This window comes from Homo sapiens, chromosome 16, assembly GCF_000001405.40.
Source record: "Homo sapiens chromosome 16, GRCh38.p14 Primary Assembly".
In the NCBI taxonomy this organism is placed as follows: domain Eukaryota; kingdom Metazoa; phylum Chordata; class Mammalia; order Primates; family Hominidae; genus Homo; species Homo sapiens.
The window spans coordinates 86,628,415-86,647,759 of NC_000016.10; the positions used below are offsets into that span (position 1 = coordinate 86,628,415).

The 19,345-nt window shown below is 48.0% G+C and overlaps 1 annotated feature.

Moving 5' to 3' along the window:
- Positions 17,849-18,349: an enhancer, noted in NCBI's record as "H3K4me1 hESC enhancer chr16:86679869-86680369 (GRCh37/hg19 assembly coordinates)". NCBI's record gives its function as "activates a minimal SCP1, AML or CMV promoter by ChIP-STARR-seq in naive H9 embryonic stem cells {active_cell/tissue: H9 hESC(naive)}" and the evidence as "EXISTENCE:reporter gene assay evidence [ECO:0000049][PMID:30033119]".

Sequence of the window (19,345 nt, forward strand, 5' to 3'; positions counted from 1 at the left end):
ATCACATCATTAGTTATTTCTTTAGGATAAATTCCTAAAAGCAGAATTGTCGCCTCACAGGGCAATGCCTGTTTTTATGGTTTTCGTATGTCATTTCTGAGCTCTAATGGGATGCTTGGCTCAACGATGAGACGGAAACTCTGCTTTCAGAAATGCCCTGGAGAATGGAGGTGAGAACCTCAGCGGGATTCTCTCCACCTCCCAGCATCTGAGCAACATGGCTGGAAACCATGGCTGGATTCCCCCTAAATCCAGTCCGTCACGATCAGCAGAAATCTCCAAAACATTCAAGTAAGGTTTGCCATGGTGATTCAGACACTCACTGGGCCTTCACAGGAAAGCAAGCTGTTAGCCCTTGGAATGCATCAGGAAAAATACTTTTCAAAGCATTTTTAAAATTAGCAGTGCAGAGGGCTCTTAGGACAGCCACTCAGTGCCTGCAGGTTGCAGAGGATGTTTAATGTATGCGTCAGAAATTCAAGATCAACCAGCCCTGCAGTGCTGCCTTTGGAAGAAGACAAACGATCTGGCTAATCAGAGGCTCAGCTGTGGAGGCTGGTTTGCACCTGGGGGTTGCAGGCCCGAGTTATGGTTCAGAGCAGGCCTGATGAGGCCATATGAAGAAGGCCCAGCTCCTCTCAGGCTATTCATTTATTACAAAATTTCTACTGAGGTGTAACTGGCATACATAGTGAATGGATACAACTTGTTTGGCCTGGAGATAAGTACACAGGTGCGAAACCACCTTCTATGCCATAAACGTATGAAACCATCACCACCTATGGTGAAACCATCAACATCTGTGCCATAAACGTATGAAACCACCACCTTTTATGCCATAAATATGTGAAATCATTACCACCTATGGTGAAACCATCACTGTCTATTCCACAAACATATGAAACCACCACATCTGTGCCGTAAATATATGAAACCATCATCGTCTATGCCATAAACATATCCATCCCTTCCAGAAGCTTCCTCCCACCCTCTTTACTTATTATTGTTATTTTGCGATAAAAATGCTTAGCATAAGATCTACCCTCTTAGCAAATTTTAAGTATACAATACGACATTGCAAACTATCGGCACCCTCTCAGGCAGTTCTGATGGTGGCAAACGTGGTGGGGGGACTGGTTCTCCCAGCAGGAAATCACTCTTCAAGTGCAACAGCCTGGAGAAATGTCCATTTCCAGTGAATTTCTTCCAAGATTCCATCTTCAGAGGCTTCCCGAGGGGTATGGGATTAAACTAATTCCACACACTTCACCAATATTCACTGAGCAGCTACTATATGCCGGGTGCTGGGCTAGGTGTAGAGATCCAGCCATGAACAGAATAGAAGAGAACCAACAGGAAATGGAAAAAGATACATTGTATCAAGTGGAAGGCAAATGAGAGGGTCAGGGGACAAAGAGTGATGGTGGAGAGAGGGGTATTGGGGGCAGCCTCTCAAAGGAGGAGGCATTTGAGCAAGGTCGGAAGGACGTGTGGGAGGAGGGTGTAGGGGGAGATCTTCCAGGCAGCGGGAATAAAACAGCCAGTGTGAAGGCCCTGAGGCAGGTGTCTTTGTGTGCAAGAGTGAGCTGCTCAGCGTGGCTACAGCAGAAGGGGTTGTTGGGGAGAGGAGGTTGGCGGAGGGAGGGAGAGCTGCTGGAACCTGCAGGACTTAGTGTTAATAAAGACTTTATGTTGATTCAGGATGACGTGAGAAGCCACTAGAAGGTTTTGAGCAGAACAAAGTTAGGGGCTAACTTAGGTCTTACAGAATCACTCCAGCTCATGTGTAGGAAAGGAAGCATCAGAGGCTAAGGAGGAGGCAGGGAGACCAGGTCGTGACGTCTTCCATTTTCTGGGTGGGGAAGCTGGCTCTGAGAGAGCAGGCAGGTAGCTTAAAGAAGATGACCTCACTACTGTGTCTCAGCTGGCAGCACCCGGCCTTCCCTCACGGGCAGCTCCTTGCCCGCCAGGTCCTCAGGAAGCCTCACCCCATGCTGCTGTGTCTTTCCTGCTCACTTTCTCCATCCCATGTCCAGCTTGGTACCCAATGCCTCCTGGCGGTTCCTCCATGAATGGAGCAAAGGGCCCAGGAAGCAATGGCCTAGAATCCAGCGTCCAGAGCTGTGTGCAGCCTCTCCGACAACCAAGACAGAAAGGAAAACCTCAGGAGAAAAATCAGCCGGGAGGTGGAGCACCGTGGAGAGGCGACCAAGACCGGCCACCCACGTGACAGATGAACGGGTGACTCCTCAGCTGGGAGGCCCGCCAGAGGTGAAAGCAAGCATCCATCCCCATCCCTGGCAGGAGCATGTATCTATCCCAAAGCCAGCAGCAGGCTGTGGCTCATGTCTGCCCCAGGAAGTGGAGCCGGAGGGCAAACCACTCCATCAAGGTGAGGAGGTGGGTGCAGCCCTGGGTCTGTACGCATTCACCCTGCAAGCTACGCTTCCCTCTCCCAGGAGGCCCTGGTAAGCGTGATCAGCAGCTTACATGGTACCGAGCGCTGCTCACTGCCACTCTCCAATCCTTCCAGAATCCGCTGTAAGTGTTGTTCTTACAGATTTGAAAAATGCCTCTCCCATAAAGATTGAGGACTAACACAAGGATAAAAATCACCGACGGGCTGAGCTCTGATACGTCTTTATATTGTGATGACTGGTGATAGCCTGCAGGCTGGAACATTTTAGCTTTTGGTTGATGGCTGGTTTCTACTGCGTGTGGCATTGTCTTGGGCCCTCAGTGTTAGCAAAGGGGTGCCCCGGCATAGTGGGCAGAGCCCTGGTTGATCTCTGACCCTTCCAGCAAGTAGAACAAAGTGGGTCATGCCCTCCCTAATGGCTACGGAAGAGCAGTCAGCTTTTACTCCCCATACTCTGGCATCCAGCTGGGGTGGAGATGGAAGATACATGTGATGAGACTTGAGGAGAAAAGTGGGAAGCGGGTGAGCGGGAAGCAGAAGGAACGGCTCCAGGCGTTGTGGGATTTGCCGTGTTTCCAGAATGTTCATCCTGGTGGCACTGCCCCGTCCTCATCCTCTCTCCCAGTCTTCCCTGGTGATTTGGGGGACGCCACTTGTGTGGTGACAGAAATCTGGCAGATAGCAAGGAAGCAATAAACCTATCTCACTCTCTGAGTAGGAGACCTCGTGAGGATGTTGAATCACGGGGCGAGGCTGTGAGCAGTCGGGGTGTCATTCTCCTCCGCAAACATTTACTGGCTGACCCCGAATAAAGATCAAGATCTAAGGAGGCCTGAGACATGGGCCTCTGGTCTGTGCCCCAGGAGACCAGATGCCTTCCCTTGAGGGAGGGCGTGTGCTCAGGAACTCTGGCCATAGGAGGAAGTGGTTTTCAACCCCAAGACTAAAATGCCAGCATTGAACCCAAACAATATCGGATAGATTTTTTTTCTTCCTCTCTCTCTCTTTGACGGGAAAAGTTATTGATTGGGTAAACACAGATGTATTTAATGTTTTAAGTCAGTTCACAGTGTATGTGGAGTCAACTAAATATCTCTGGGCAGTAATCAGCCTTGAGGTTGTTAGTTATAGCTGGAAACCCAAGAGGCTGATGAGAGAGATTTTTAACGTTTGAATGCAGAGTTCAGTGGACTGGGAATTTAACACAGCTGAGAGTACAGATAATTGACTTCTAGGTTCTTTGATGAAAACCCAGAGACTGTCTCCATCATCAATCCCAAACTACTGTGCGGTTTCCAGTTCTGCGTTATTAACTAGGCTTCTTCATAGAACCTTCCCATGTCAGCCCTTTCTATGCAGGAGTGTAAATACCTGCAATGCAGTGGAAATGTGCCATCCCAGCCTTCTGTTTTTCCTACAATCAGACCAGGACTCCTCCCTCCCTGTGCCTCCGCACAAGCCCATGACTGTGACGTTAGCCACGCAGTGACGGCTAAGGCTAAGCCATCAAAGACCTCCAACCGGACATGTTGCGATGCTCACTTTTGGAAAGTAGCCACCGTGCTGTGAGGAGGGCACGCTGCCACACGGAAAGGCCACCTACAGGTGTCCTGATGCACGGGAGGTCCCGGCCAACACGAACCAGTAGCCAGGAGAGTGAGGGGACCTTCGGATGATTCCAGCTTCCAGCCTTGAGGAGTCCTTGGGTGACACTGAGTCAGGCAGAGATGAGCTGTCCCTGCCCGGCCCCGCCCGATTTGCAAATTTGTGAGCAAAATAAACATGGTCTTTGTTTTCCGTCACTAAATTTTGGAGTGGGTTATTATGCAGCAATAGGAAACTACAACACTGATGATGTGAAATCGAACTGCTGAGAACTTTTTTCTTTTGGCTACCTCAGTCTCATTTTGCTTTGTCTCAAATATGTCATTTTGTACGATTATTATTTTGGTTTTATCATGTATTTGAAAATAGCAAAGAAAAGTATTTTTTAATTGAGTGTAAAATTCACATAAAATTATTTTAAAGTGTACCTCTCAGTGACGTTTAGTACCCTCACAATGTTGAACAACTGTCGCCTCTATCAAGTTCCTAAATATTCTTATCACCCCAAAAGGAAACCCGTATCCATAAAGCAGTTTCTTCACATTCCCCTTTTCCTAGCCTCAGGCAACCCCCCATCTGCTTCCTGTCTCTACGGGTTCGCCTATTCTGGACGTTTTGTGTAAATGTAATTGTAGGCTATTTTTCCTTTTATATCTGGCTTGTTTGACTCAGCATAACATCTTCAAGGTTCATCCACATTGTAGCATGTGTCAGCATTCCTTCCTTTTCATGGCTGAGTAATATCCCATCATATGGATAGGCCACATTTTGTTTAACCATTTGTCATTTGATGGACATTTGTGTTGTTTCCACCTTCTGGCTATTGCGAATAAGGCCACTACGAACATTCATGTGCACGTATTTGAGTTCATGTTTTCAGTTCTTTTGGGTAGATACGCAGGAGTGAAACTGCTGGGAAGATAAGGTTTTCTTTCATAATATCAATGGTGTGTTCCTCAGTGACCTCTGATGCATGCAATAGTGAGAGGTTGGGAGTCTCTTTAACTGAATCAACTAAATTACCAAGAAAACACAAAATACAAGGGAAAACACAATATTTAAAATCTATTATGGTTTTTCAGAGACCAAATCCTTTCTCCAGATAAAACTGTTGGTGAGTGGCCATTGTCACACCTCATTATTTACACTGCGTGGCTAACGTCACAGTCATGGGCCTGTGGAATCATCTCGGCTCCTTAGGCTCCCCTGGCCATGAGAATGTCTCAGACTTCCTCGTTTATTCGTGACCTTGACAGTTTCAAAGAGGACTGGTCAGGTGTTCTGTAGAATGTCCCTCAACTTGGGCTCTCCTGATGTTTTTCTCTTGATTAGACTACAGTTAGGGGCTTTGAGGAAGAAGACCACAGAGATGAAGTACGTGTCTCATAGCATCATATTGGGGGTACGTGATATCCCCATGACCTATCACTGCCGATGTCAAACTCGGTCACTTGGTTACCGTATTGTATGCCAGATTTCTCCTCTGCAATGCTCCTGTCATTCTCTGTCCACACTCTGTTCTTTGGAAGCAACCCATTAAGTTTAGTTCACCCTCAAAGGAGAGATTAAGCTCCACTTCCTTGAGGGAGAGTATTGACATATATGACTTAGAATTCTTCTGTAGAGAGGAATGATGCTATGTCATGACTCAAGACAAAATTGGGGCCCTGTTAGTAAGGAAATAGGGGAGCATGAGATTCCAACCCTCAATTGTAAATGGGGAAACTAACATTTGCCTGACCTATGCTGATAAGAGAATGTCTACATCTAATGTTGGAACAAGCAGGAGCTTGGAATAGTGGTGGGGTTTTTACCACAGGTTGGCAACTTTTGACAGGCGAGTTTATTCATTCAAGGCTTAAAGACTAGAGGCTGGGATAGAGGGAGGTACACAGTGGTGAGTAAGGGTGTAGCGAACATACTTCATTGTTACCCAGTATCCACTTTGCCCTTTCCTTTAGTAGTAGAATCCTAATGTCTTAGCTGGGTACACAGCTGCCCAGCTAAGGACTACATTTCCCAGCCTCCTGTGTGGCTATATGTGGTCATGTGATGAATTGCTGGCCAATGGGATATGAATGGAAATGATGCATTCAGCATCAGAATTAAGCCAAGGAACAGGACTTTGTGATGGATAAGTGGGAAGAAGAAATTGGGTGCTGTTTCTTACTTTCCACTCAGCTAGAAGCATTTGGTATGGTGGTCCTTGAATCCAAGCTGTGTCATCAGCACTGCATTAAACAGCATCTCTAGATATAGCCATAAATTGTATATTCACAAGTGAATCAGATTTTAGTGAATCTCAAACAAAGAGAACTTTGTCCTAGGTCAACCTCTTATTGTCTGTGTAAGCCTGAACAAGCTACATCACTTCTGTGCATCTCTGTGAACTTATTTTTGAGCGTTGATGCCCACCTCACCTAGATTTTCGGAAAAGCCAATGCATTCAGTATGGAAGATACTTAGCATGGGGCCTGGCAGGCAGTATCTCAGAAAACACTTCCAGTTTTGTTATCTTTCCAATGATCATTACCAAGATGTTTGTGGGATTTTTCGTCAACATTTACAACCTGGTTAGAGTTTGTCATCTTCCTCCGCTTTTTTTTTTTTTTTTTCTTTTTTGGGTCTGCTTGTTAAACAAAATTAAATTGCAGTCCTAGTAAGGCTGGTCTTAAACGTATGAAACCATTTTCAAATTTGAGACGCATGGGCGAATTCAAGGCACAGGAATTAGTCTGCATTCCAGATCAATTAGGGAAATAGTTTGCAGTAACTACTGCATTTTGAAACACATCAAATAGGAAAGAGAAGTCACTGTTGTATGTCACTGTCAGAAAGCAAAAGTGAGGCTTTTTTGTCTGATTTCAAGAATGGCTCACTCACAGGGTCCGCAATGGAGAGGCAAGAAATAGCAGGCCTGCCAAAACCACTGTGAAGTTTTCACTGACTCAAAGACCGCCCACCCAATCCCAGGGGACTTGGTAATTCAATGGAGATTAAAGGCACACTAAAATCCTGGTAACCAGAGAAAAGCAGGCTCTATTAGGTTACCATTTCCATTTTTCTGTCAAGCAAAGGCAGAGTTTCCCCAGAGAAGACGGAGTATTTGCTCTCAGCCAAAAGACCCCAAAGAAGCAGAACTCTTTAACCGAGATTACAAAAGAGAAAAAACGTGTAAGTGCAGAGCTGAGCCGAGCCTGTGCGTTCCTGCCAGCCCCCCACTATGAGCTAAGGCCCCTGGCACTTAAGTCAATGCAAAATGAATAATGCACTTAGTTAAATATTTCCTCCCATGATGAAAGTCCTTGGTCACCCGAATTTCTTTTTCTACTTGACGTGTTCATTTCTTTTTCTGACCAGATATCCATAATAAAATCTGGCACTCTGAGGACAAGTGCTTTCTATACAAGCTTTCTCCAACTTTCTATCACAAGCCTTTGAAACTGAACACCCCCTTTTTATCCTGTATTACTTCCTCCCCTGGAACCGTTCAATCTCTACTCAGCAATCCCATTAGACTTTTAACTTCCATTTTTTAAGTGCTGATAAAAATGTATAGATGTCTGAACCCCATCCAGGGAAGCCAACTTTCAAACTATGCAAAAAGGAGGCCGTGGCGGCTCTGGAAGGATGGGAAATGGAGCTTGTGGCAGAGCCACACTGTGGCCCGCCAGCTGTGCCGCATGATTGCACGCTCGCCCACGCGTTCTGGGGGGCTTGGTGGTCCATTTCTGGCACAGGCTCGGCCACTGCATCATGATCTAGGGGTTGTGGGATTACTATACAGATTTTTATACAGCGTAAAGTACTCTTGTTCATCTTTCTGAGACGAGGCTGAACTTTATGGAAGAAAGGAGTGGTTTAGTAGGAAATGATCAGACTAATCACATGGAAATAAACAGCGTATTTTATCACGTTCCACGTGTTCATGCATTTCCCCTTCTTTTTTATAGAGAGGGAGGTTGCCAGCTGCCTTGAAGAAGAGGGAGGGGCAGAAGGAGGCTTAGGGTCCTCAGGCGGCCCTTCTGAGAAAGGAAGAGGGAAGGGAGGTGTAGGCGAAGGAGGTGGGCCCGTCTGGAGGAAGGTAACTTCTCCTCCTTTAGCTGGGGGTGGGGCAGAACATGGGATTGTCCTCAGACCCAGGCCCTGCTCTTCTCTGAAAACACTGCCAGTGTCCCCTGCATACTGGCTCCTGCCCAGGTCTCACTCATGGGAAGCACTGGGTCAACAGGAGGTAGGGTGGCACATGGAAGAGCAGCTACCTACACCTCCTCGTTCCCTCTGAGTCTCCTCTGTGCTTCCAGCTCCCTGGGGATAACCTCCCTGTCCTGCCTTTGCTGGGCAGCCCACCTGGCTCTGGGCCAGAGGAATAGCCTGCCTTGGACTTGCTGCTCTTGCCAGTATCTTGACTGCCTCACAGGTCCCTCCATGGCCCCTAGCTCTTCCATCCCCAGTGCAACCAAATCCCTGTATTCAATCCCTCTGGTGGCAGTGCCTAGAGTGGATTTGCTTTCCAAATGGATGGAGAGCAAAGCCTGAGGATGAGGGCTCTGGATCAGCAAGGTGGCACTTACCAGAACTGCCAGGTCCCTGTGCTCCTGGGGCAGTCAATCCACTGAGGAATGTGTCTTTTCTGCAGAGTGGATGTAACAGGACCTGGAGCAGCATCCCTGGTTTTGGCAGGCTTTCTGGGCCCAAGTTGCAGTGGGGGTGGCTTTATATTGTGAAGTGTGCTCCTCTTTCCTGCAGCCTGTGACTCCAGGTGGAGAGGCTCCCCTGTCACCTCCTCTCAGTGTGACCTCTGCCAGGGGATGCCATCCACTCAGCATCTGCAGGATCCCTGAGGAGCAGCCATGGCCCATGGACCCCACCCACCCCAGCTCAGACCTCTGGGACCAACACCCGACAGGCAGCAGGCTCTTCACAGACACAACCCAGGAAGCTCTGAGCAACTTGGCCATAGCCCCTGCACTAATGGGGACACTGAGGAGTGACAGTGACTCCAAAGAGTCGCTGCCCAAGCAAATGCATGGAAAAGAGGAGCCAGGGAACACGTACAGCTTCTGGGCTTTGCCAGGCTCACCTCAGCTCAGCTTCATGGTTTGCTGGGCCAGGACTTCATGTTCATCCAACACCAACCTGCCAGAAGCATCTGTTCCCTGGGGATGTGGAGGGGCAGGAGCAGGAGCAACTCCATACTGCTGGACCTGCATAACGGACGTCCTGCCACTGGGACCATGAGCTCTGGGGAGGGAGAGAGAGAGAGAGAGAGAGAGAAGGAAAACACTGAAAAGACAGAGACACAAGGTTTGGAGAGAATGCAGCCTGGCTTTCCTAACTCCTTCTAGCTGCTAATTCTGATTCCCTGCACCCTGTGACTCCAGGTTCCATAAGACACCACCAGACCTTTCTGATAACTTCCCCCTTTTATCTTTAAGCCAGCTTGTTTGGTTTCTCCAATTTGCATCCCACAGAATCTTAAAAATGTCACAGCACCTGTCCGGAGGAGCTTAGCAGAATCTGGGGGTGGAAGGGTGGGGACTGTGGAGGAGAGAAACAGGCAGGGAAGAGATAAAGTGATACGGGGCCATGGAGAAGGGACACTTCTTCCTGGGGGTCAGGGGAGGCTGCTGGGAATCAGTGATCTCAAAGTTGTGTCTGCAGAATGACCAGGAGCTGTTCAGGTGAAAAAAGAGAGGGAGAGTTGCTGGCTATTTCTATGCACTGTACAAAATACATGTGTGTCTGATCTCCTTACTTAAGTGGTGAGCTCCTCAAGGGCAGGGCCTGGATAGTGGGTGTTCTGTCCCCTGCCATACCCAGCAAAAGGCCAGTTAGGTGTTCAGTACATGATAATGGATTGACAGATGGAGGAGGTGTTGAAGCAGAATGAAAACTCCCAGGACATGGACATGCTTTAGGTGAAGAAAGTGCAGTGAGTTTGGAAACCAGGCAGTATTTGAAAGGGTCATGGGAGGCTACATAAAAGAGGGGCTAATTGGGTTGGATTTTGAAGGATGACTAAGAGTTCTCTTCAAAGCCGGGATGCTGAAGAGCTGAGGAGTCTCATGGTGGATGCTTGGGTGTTTTTCCCACTAGACAGTCACGGGAGTCAGGGCTAGGTCTCTTTGCCTCCCTGAGAGCAGCTGCCTGGAGGGGGCAGAGCCTAACTTTGAAGGTTTAATGAGGTTGAAGGTTTAATGAGGTTTATTTAGAAGAAAGGTAAAGACAATGCAACGGGTGTAGAGCGATGGAGTCAGACAGACTGGATTTGAGCCCTGGCTCTGCTCCTGTGTGGCCTTGGGCCTTGGGCGAGGGCAGTTATGTGTCTGAGTCTTTGTTTCCATATCTGTATGATGCCCCTGCAAACGCCCCTCGCCTGCTGGCTGGGATTCGCCCACATGATGTTGGTAAAGCAGCAGGCTCACCCTCTGGTCCACACGACACTGCCCTCATGGGGATGACATGAATGGTTCACCCATGGACAACGCGGTGGCTGTGGCATCTCAGCACCACTGAGGCGGAACAGTTGGAAGAAAAAGCAGAATATTAAAGTGAATTGGAAGATGCATATTGTGATCTCTAGCACATTGGGTGTGATTTTAGCAGTTTCTGTCTTAGCAACGTCCCCTCCCCGGCCCCTGCAGCGTGTTCCTTTGTTGAGGGTGAGGGAGGATTCTGATATGGAATTGTGTCACCAGAGCACAATTCCATGGGGATATTACTTCAGTGACTGACTCAGCCCCCTGCCCCCAACCTCACAACTGCCCCTCCTGACTCAAACGTGGTCCGAGTGGCTTCTCTTCACTGTGATTCAATCCACATCGTGGGGCCCTGCCGTAAAGCAGCTGTGGGTGATACAACGATTGCTATTACTATCCATAAGCATTCTAAGATAGTCAGTATTTATCGAATTCCTCGTATTCCAGGCTCTGGGCAAGTGTCCTACTGGCACTTGTCACTATTTATTCTCCCAATTTTAATGATGTGGAAACTGAGTCTTCAACTGGTGAAGAAACGAGCCGAAGTGCAAATAGCAGCTGTGGCTCTGCACGTCCTGCTTGGTCCCAGAGGACATGTGCGCTGAGCCCTTCCTCCACATGGAGACAAGCCTGAGATCAACACCAGCAGGGATGTCCCCTTATGATTGTCGTGTGACGAATGAAGAATGGAGCAGTGAAGCAGATCCATTACCCGAGGCCACGGGGAAGCCTGAAATCAGAACTCGTGGTCCACAGCCTGTGCTCTACGGCTACAGGTTCAGCCCTGGTTTTAGTCTGGGCTTCCTCAGAAGCAAAGCCTGGGACGAGGACCTGGCACAGGTGGTTTCTTGGGAGGTGAGGGGCCAGGGAGTGAGATCAGGAAGGGGACAGGCAACCAAGGGTGCCTTCGTGAATATGTTACCCGTGCAGGTTCTGAAGGCCAATCCCAGTACAACTCTCTATAAGATGGAGCAGACACGCCTCAGGATCGTCCACCCAGAAGCTGGCCCAGAAACTGGTGACACATCCTGCCACTCCTGTTCCCCATCGGTTGGGGCTGTTCCTGGACGTGCTGGCTTTTTGGCCCTTCAGACTTGACCTATGCATGGTCTAAGGACAGTCTTGTGGTTAGAGAATGTCTTCAGCTAAAGAAATGCTGGAAGCTGCTGGCATGGCAATGTCTGTCGGTAACCTCCTGGTGGGCCAAGGGCACCTGGGTGGGCTCCAGTGAAATCTCTGCCCATTTAAACTCCCTTTTATACTTGTGGTTCTCTGGACTCTTCCCAAGTGCCCTCAGAAAGGAGTGGACAATCACAACTCCAACCAACGGGGAGCAGGACAGTCACAATGGACACGGTCCTTTCTGGTTATTTCACCTTTGAGGGCATCACCCGCCACCATTTAAACCTTGGTATTCTGCCGACATCTGCTTTCCTTGTTTTTCTGGCAGAAGCAGGGGCCAGTGCCAATGGGTCAGGATGGACACTCTCAGCTAGGGTCCCAGAGGGTCACACTCTGTTCTTTCTATTCTCAGAATCAGCCCAGACAGCAGGGGGTTGGGAGGAAAGGTCAGACTTGTCCTGTTGCATGAAGTCCCCAGCGATGGAGGACTGGACATGCTGGAGCTCAGAGGCTTTGATGCTGCCGTCTGAGGCATCCAGTGAGCAAAGACAACCCTGCTCACCCACGAGATGCTCCAGTACGAGCTCCCCGCCCCTCCCAGAGCCTCAGCCATCGATGACAGGCGTGATGGATGGCTAGTCCATTCTCTAGCAACCGTGGCCCAGGCCCAGGAGAAGCGTAGCATTACCAGACCCTGGGGGACATGTACCACCAGTCTGTCAGCACGTCTCTCCTGAGCCCCTGTCTTGGGCCAGCTTGGGGCTAGGTGCCTGGGTGTAGAAGAGCAGAAGGTGTGGTTGCTGGCCTCAGGGAGCTCCCATGAGAGCACCATTGACAGATCGGAGCCTCAGAGATATTCTACCCAGCCTTCTGGTGTTTTCTGAAGAGAACAAGCGGACACAATTGTAACAATACTTACTCAGCATAAACCTTGTGCTAGGCATTGGATAAGTGTTTCACAAATATTAATTCATTAATTTTAACAACAGCCCCGTGAGTTAAGTGTGACTGTCATCCCTGTTCGATGCTTAAAGAAACTGAGGCCCACAGAGTTTACTTTGCTGAAGGTTTCACAGCGAACTCAGTTGCAAAGACTTGGGCCCAGCTGATTTGGTTCAGAAATTCACACGTGAAACCAATGGGCCATTCTGCTCTAGCTGCATTCTTATCCACAGCAAAATCTAATAAAGAAAAAGCAACCATAATAGCTAACAGTCACGTGTTTATTAAGTGCCAGCTGCTATGAAGAGGGCTTTTTGTGGATTTCCACATAATGCCTACAGCGACCTATGAAATTGGCACTGCTGGTATCTGCATTTTACAGGTAAGGAAAGCAAAGCTCAGAGAGGTTACGTAACTTGTCCAACATCACTTAGCTAGAAGTAATGGAGCTGGAATTCGAACCCAGGCTGAAAGTCGAGGTCTCTGCATTGATTTCTGAGTAGGTTTGGTTCGCAGGTATAGGGAGCAGGGGCCCGCTGGGAACACATCCCGGAAAGGGGTTTCCTGTATGGCTGCCTATGACCTGGAAGGTTCCAGGATGGAGAAGCCAGAGCCCGCTTTGGGGCCTCATTGCTCTGGGTCTGTCTCTGGGCCTAGGGTGCTGGGACTTAGGGCCTCCGGTGGCTTCCTGTGTTTCTGTTGTCCTGTAGTCTATCGCTGTGAGTATCTTTTCTTTGCTGGATGTTTTCCTTCCTTGTAGCTTTGGCTTTTAAATACTCTTGGGCACTGTGGGAGGCTGAGGTGGGCAGATCACTTGAAGCCACAAGTTCGAGACCAGCCTGGCCAACATGGCGAAACCCCATCTCTTCTAAAAATACAAAAGTTAGCCGGGTGTGGTGGCGGCCACTTGTAATCCCAGCTACTCAGGTAGGGCAGAGGCACAAGAATCACTTGAACCCGGGAGGCAGAGGTGGCCGTGAGCAGAGGTCACACCAGTGCACTCCAGCCTGGGTGACAGAGCGAGACTCTGTCTCAAAAAATAAAATGAAATAAACCCTTGGGATTTCTAACATAAAAATCTAAACTAATCATATGTTAACAAATATGAACACAAAAGAGCCAGTCCTTCAAGATGGCTCCCAAGTGGCTAATTAGGCCTACATTTAAAATAGAGCTAAGTGGCCATTTGCTGACATATTACTGTGAATTCTGGGAAGACCTGTACCTTCTTTGAAACTTTCAGAGCTTACCTGAGCCAACCAATCAGAGCTCACCTGCTTTGGCCAATCAAAGCTCAGCTGCATCAACCAATCAAAGCTCAGTATCACTGACCAATCAGAACTAAGTGAGTTTCAAGTCTTCATTTGCATACAGGGACCTTATTGGGAACCCGGATAGGAAGGTTTGCTATAAAATGGAGCCTTCTCTTTGTTCTCTGGAACACACCTTCATCTTACACTGGATCCTGCCACTCCCTGGTTTGCAAACTGTTCACTGGAATAAACTCTCTTTCCTTCAAAGTTCTTTTCAAAGAACTTTTGTTCAAATGGACAACCCCACATTAAGCAAAGGCAATCCTGGCCCTGGTGGACTTTGTGGTCCAGGGGAAGATCCCTTAGAACCATGGGGCTTCCCGCATCCTGCTCTACCATCCCTGGCAGCTGCAGTGCCTGCCCCTCACACCTCATTCAGGGACATATCCTAGTCCAAATTCTTAAGAGAGGTCGTCTGATTGGCCTATCCATCTGCCTGCTGGAGGCACATTATTGGCTATGGGAACCCAGTGGACTGGCTGCCCTTGGCTCAGGGCCAGACATGGACCAATCAGATTTGTTGCCAGGGAGCCGTGGTACAGAGCATGGTTGCCCGTCACTGACAGAAGGGGAACTCAGGCGGGTCAGGATCATCAAGGTGCTGCCTGACCCTGAGGATTTCACCATCTATTCCTGGGCCTTTCTTGTCTTATATAGTTTTTATGCCTTAAAAAAAGTTATTCGTTGCCTACAAAATCTATGTTTCTATAATGGTTTTACCAATAAATCCACAATAGACAGTACAATGGGAAGAAACAGGTAAATCAAATCTTCACTAGTTAGAGATTTTAGCATATCTTTAAACATTGATAGGTCAAATAGACAAAATTAACACATATGTTGAAGATTTGAATAACATATATGGAAACCTTGAATGACTAAGTTTGCTCTAGTAGATGAATGTTAAACGTACGCACATTTTTTGGTGATATTTCTATCTCAGTTCTCAACACATTCTCCTTTTCTTCCCCCATCTTCCTTCTGCCACCCCTTGAAAACCATTTCATTTCTTCTTCAGACATAGCCTCCATAAACCCTATAGTTTTAACATCGCTTGGCACTAAACAAGAAAAAGAAAAAAGCACCTAATGGCATTTGCAAATTACTTTCAGTTTGTGGCTTCGAAAAGAAGGGTTATGGAAAGTATTGATAGCTGCACGACTTTCTCAGAGGGTGGGTTTGAAAAAAATGGCAGATCAAAAGCTTCTTGAGAATTTGTGTGAGTATGTGCTGGGAGTCTGTTCTGTCCAAAGGAAATCACTGGCAGGTATTAATTTGAGGGAGAAAAAGTTTTAAGGCAAGTCAAAGGGAAAAGGGAGAAAAAATACAGCATGTTTTAATTGTGACTCGGAAATTTTATAAACACAGTTTACACATGTATCACTTATAATCACGGTCCTGGCCAGAGCAATAATTATGATAAATCCTTTGTCAACCCTACTTAGAAGTTCTTATGAGGTAGTCGGAAATTAGTTCACATTTTAGACAATAGTTGAGTAAAAACCCGATCCAACCCAGCCTCTCTACATGTGGAATTCCACACGGCCTGCAATCAGATGTTCACCAAATCACACTTTTTCATTGCCAAACGCCTTGGCAGGTTAGCATAAACAAGTCTTGAATTCATTAAGTTGCATTTTTTAGCCTTCTAATTAGCTAAAAGTTGTACATTTCAAGCACAACATGTCAAGAGCTTGATTTCAAGGTATAATGATATGGCACGGAGACTGAAGCCACCCACTGCCCTTTGTGTAGAATGTTGGTTTCTGATGGCTCTTTGCTTAACTGATCTTGGGCTGGCTTTGATGGGTGACCTTGGAGATGGGTAGAAAGGGTTTGGAAAGGAAGCATTCTTAACACGTGATCATTCTACTTAAAAAGCAGCCCCTGTCTTTTGGCAATCTCTGTCTTTTAAAACAGCATCTGAGCTGGGTGCAGTGGCTCACGCCTGTAATCTCAGCACTTTGGGAGGCCAAGGCGGGCAGATCGCCTGAGGCCAGGAGTTCAAGACTAGCCTGGTCAACATGGCGAAACCCCGTCTCTACTGAAAACACAAAAATTAGCCGGGCGTGGTGGTGGGCACCTATAATCCCAGCTCCTCGGGAGGCTGAGGCAGGAGAATTTCTTGAACCTGGGAGGCAGAGGTTGCAGTGAGCCGAGATCGCGCCATTGTACTCTAGCCTGGGCATCAAGAGTAAAATTCCGTCTCAAAAAAACAAAACAAAACAAAACCCAAAAAAAACATCTGAGGCTTAGATGCTAGAAATGAGCCCCTCCAACATAGTTACCTAAAGAGCAAGTTATTATTTTTTTAATATTCCAAGATTTTTCCTCAGTGATTCTCCATCTGCAAACTCAGTCACAAATCAGGCCTTATCGTGTTAAAACACCAAATGTCATTGAAGAGATAATTTCATGGTCTCCCCTGAAGTGTATTCAGGGTAACAACATTCTCGTCATATTCCAGCTCATTGGGTTAAACTTGCAGTTCAGTAGCTTGGGACCAGATAGAGAAGACTCTGTGTAGGGACAAGAAAGAATGATGCTCAAATGTCAGACCTTAAAGACACCAACTCTAACTCTCTTCTGTGTTACAAGTAAAAGCTGAGACCCAGAAGGAAGGCCTCCTTCAAGTCCATGTGGTTAATTTACAGTACAGTGAGAGCAGGAAGGGGAGAATCCCGTCTTTCTCTCAGAGACGTCACTCCCATTTCAGAAAGGATTCACGTTCCCAATCTCATTTCAGACATCCAGGAACTGTGATTTGGGAGTTGGGTCCCCTGCCCCTATTTTACTGCAGGGGAGACTGAGGCACAAGGAGATCCCGTGTCTAACTGGTACATGGAACGGAACCAGTTAATGCCGAAGAGGACTGTGGTCATGCTTTCCTGAAGTTCAGAGCTTGCCCTTTCCACTAGGTAGAGGATCCTGGGTGTTTTCACAAAGGAAGACAGAGAGTGGCGTAAAGCGGTGACTTCTCAACTTTCCTGATGTCACCCCGGTAAGGAGTCATTTTATCTGGTTATCTGGGGTGGCAGAGAACACTAACTGGCTTTCGTTCTCCTTTGGTTGCATTTAGCAACAGAACCTCCTAGGTTTTAGAGGGTCTGGAAGGTGGGAGACCACCTTCCCCAGCCTTCACCTCTTGCCAGTAGGTATGGACGTGAGACCGCCTTCTGGCCAATAGGGTGCAAAAAGAAGTGTGTGCACCACAGATCTGGTCACGTCCTTTGAAAAGAACAGAACTTGCCTTCCACTTCCTCTCCATCTCCCTCCTGTGGGCAGCCCCGAGGGTGGAGTCAGCTCCTGCCATGCAGGTGAGGGTCATACTCAGGGGAAGAGGGACAGATAGGAGGGATCTGGTGCCTAGATTAGCCCATGGAACAGAGCCATCTGTTAGCCCTGCCCACCTGTCCCCCTCTGGACTGGCACAGGAGAGAGAATAAAAATCCCATCTGGTTCAGCCACCATATTTTTGCTCTTTTTATTACAATATCATAGCATATGCCTGGACTACTGTGTGCAAGACACACAGGGACACACTTACACACGTGTGTGTGTGCACACATGCACTCTGACACACATGCGCAGACACAAAGGTTTCAAAGCAGTGCCTTTTCTTATCCTGTGATGTGTGCTCTCGTCTGTTCTACTCCGCTCTTTTGTATTTTTTTCCAAGGTGGCGTGAGCTCATTATGCTGATTACATGATTGGCTAGTGGGTTAGGACCTGCAGGGCTGGAGCACCTGAAGACAATTCACAAACCCAAAGGCAAAGACCCAAAGGCAAGGCACGGTGAGACAAGGGGTGGAAGAAAGCAAGCTGCCCTGACAGTTGAGACAGACACAGATAAATAAACAAGAACAAAAGCCCAGGACCACAGGCGGGACACAGGCCTCCCCGCGAGGGGTTTTTGGAGATTGTTGGGCAACGGAAGCCAGGTGACTCCAGGCCGGGAAGGCTCCATAGAGGTGGCTGCATCACCGGGGAGGCACTGACTTTGAACTCAGTGGCATGAAAGCATCCCAGAACGTTCAGATGTGTGCCCAGCCCTGTGGCTCTCACGGTAGGCACTGTGTCCCCAAGTCCCTTCTTTCCAGGCAGCATGCTATGTCCTGGTGGGTCCAAGAATGAAGGAATATTGTAAGATTGTGGCTAACTGAATCTAGATGCTTCCGACTCGGATGTGACTGCCCCTGGGAGGGGCACAGCTTTGTCTTCTTCTTAGAGGAAGTGACCTGGCCCTCCAGGGTGTCTGTCCCCTCTCCAGCCCCAATCCCACTGGCATTCTCCGGGAAGGCAGGTGATTGGAATTCGGTGAGGAGTTTACTAGCTGGGATTGAAGGAAAAGGGAACTAGACTAGCTGAATGGTTAGAAGCAGAGTCTTATGAGGAACGTGGTAACTGTCTCCAAAAGCCAGTTGGCTGGCCACAGGCTAGGATCCCTCTCCTCTGACCCTCTGTTCCAGCCATCTGGGGCTTCTTGATGTTCCCCAACAGGCCTAGCAGGCCCTGTCTCAGGTCTTTGTGTTGCCATTCCCCTTGGCCGTGGGTCTTCCCCGGATGCACCAGGACCCACGGCTCCCCAGGTGTCATCTCATCATAAGAACCACCCCCACCAACTGCTTGCATGGCTTACCCTCTTTTCTCAATTTGTTTTTCTCCATAGCACTACTCTTGTCTGATGCAGGTGCACTCTATAGTTTACTTATTTTAGTTATTTGTGCTGTTTGTCTTTCCCCTTTCTGGCTGGAAGTTCCTGAGGTAGGACTGTTATCTATTTTTCTCTTGGCAGCATCTCCTGTGCTAGGGGGACGATCTGGATCAGTGCCTGGCCCATGGAAGACTCCTGACCCAGGCTTGTTCACTGAATGAAGGCATTCCACATGTTCTGTGATGCGGGCAAGTCATTCATTCATTTATGCATTTAGAATGAGCTTTGAGAATATGGCAGCCTACAAAATGGACATGGTCCTGCCTTCAGGGAGCTTCTGGTCCAGCCTATGGCCTCTTGCCTGGAAAGAGATGTTACCACGTTATTAGGAGGTAGTGTGGTGTGGTAAGTGCTTTCGTGGGAAAAGCAGAGGGGATTGTGGGAGCTCAGAGTGGGGTACCCAACCTGGATGGGAGGTCAGAGAATGCCACAGAATCTGTTTGGCCTTCAATCACTAATCTGTATAGTTAGCAATATGGACAAGCTGGTCTTTAATAACTCATACCCCTTCATTTCTAATTCTCTGTCATGTGTTCTATGTGGTTCCTGAGGGAGATCTCCAACCAGGGAGACAAATGAAAGAATGAGGATTTAGCTTTATGGAAAAAACACCTAAAGGTGGAACAGTCTCCAGGTACACAGGCTGCCTCACAAGGTAGTTATTGGTAGCAGCACAGTAAAATGTCTAGGAGATCAATGACTTAAGCCACCGACTGTTTTGTTATTCTTGTGATTCTGTGGGGTGACA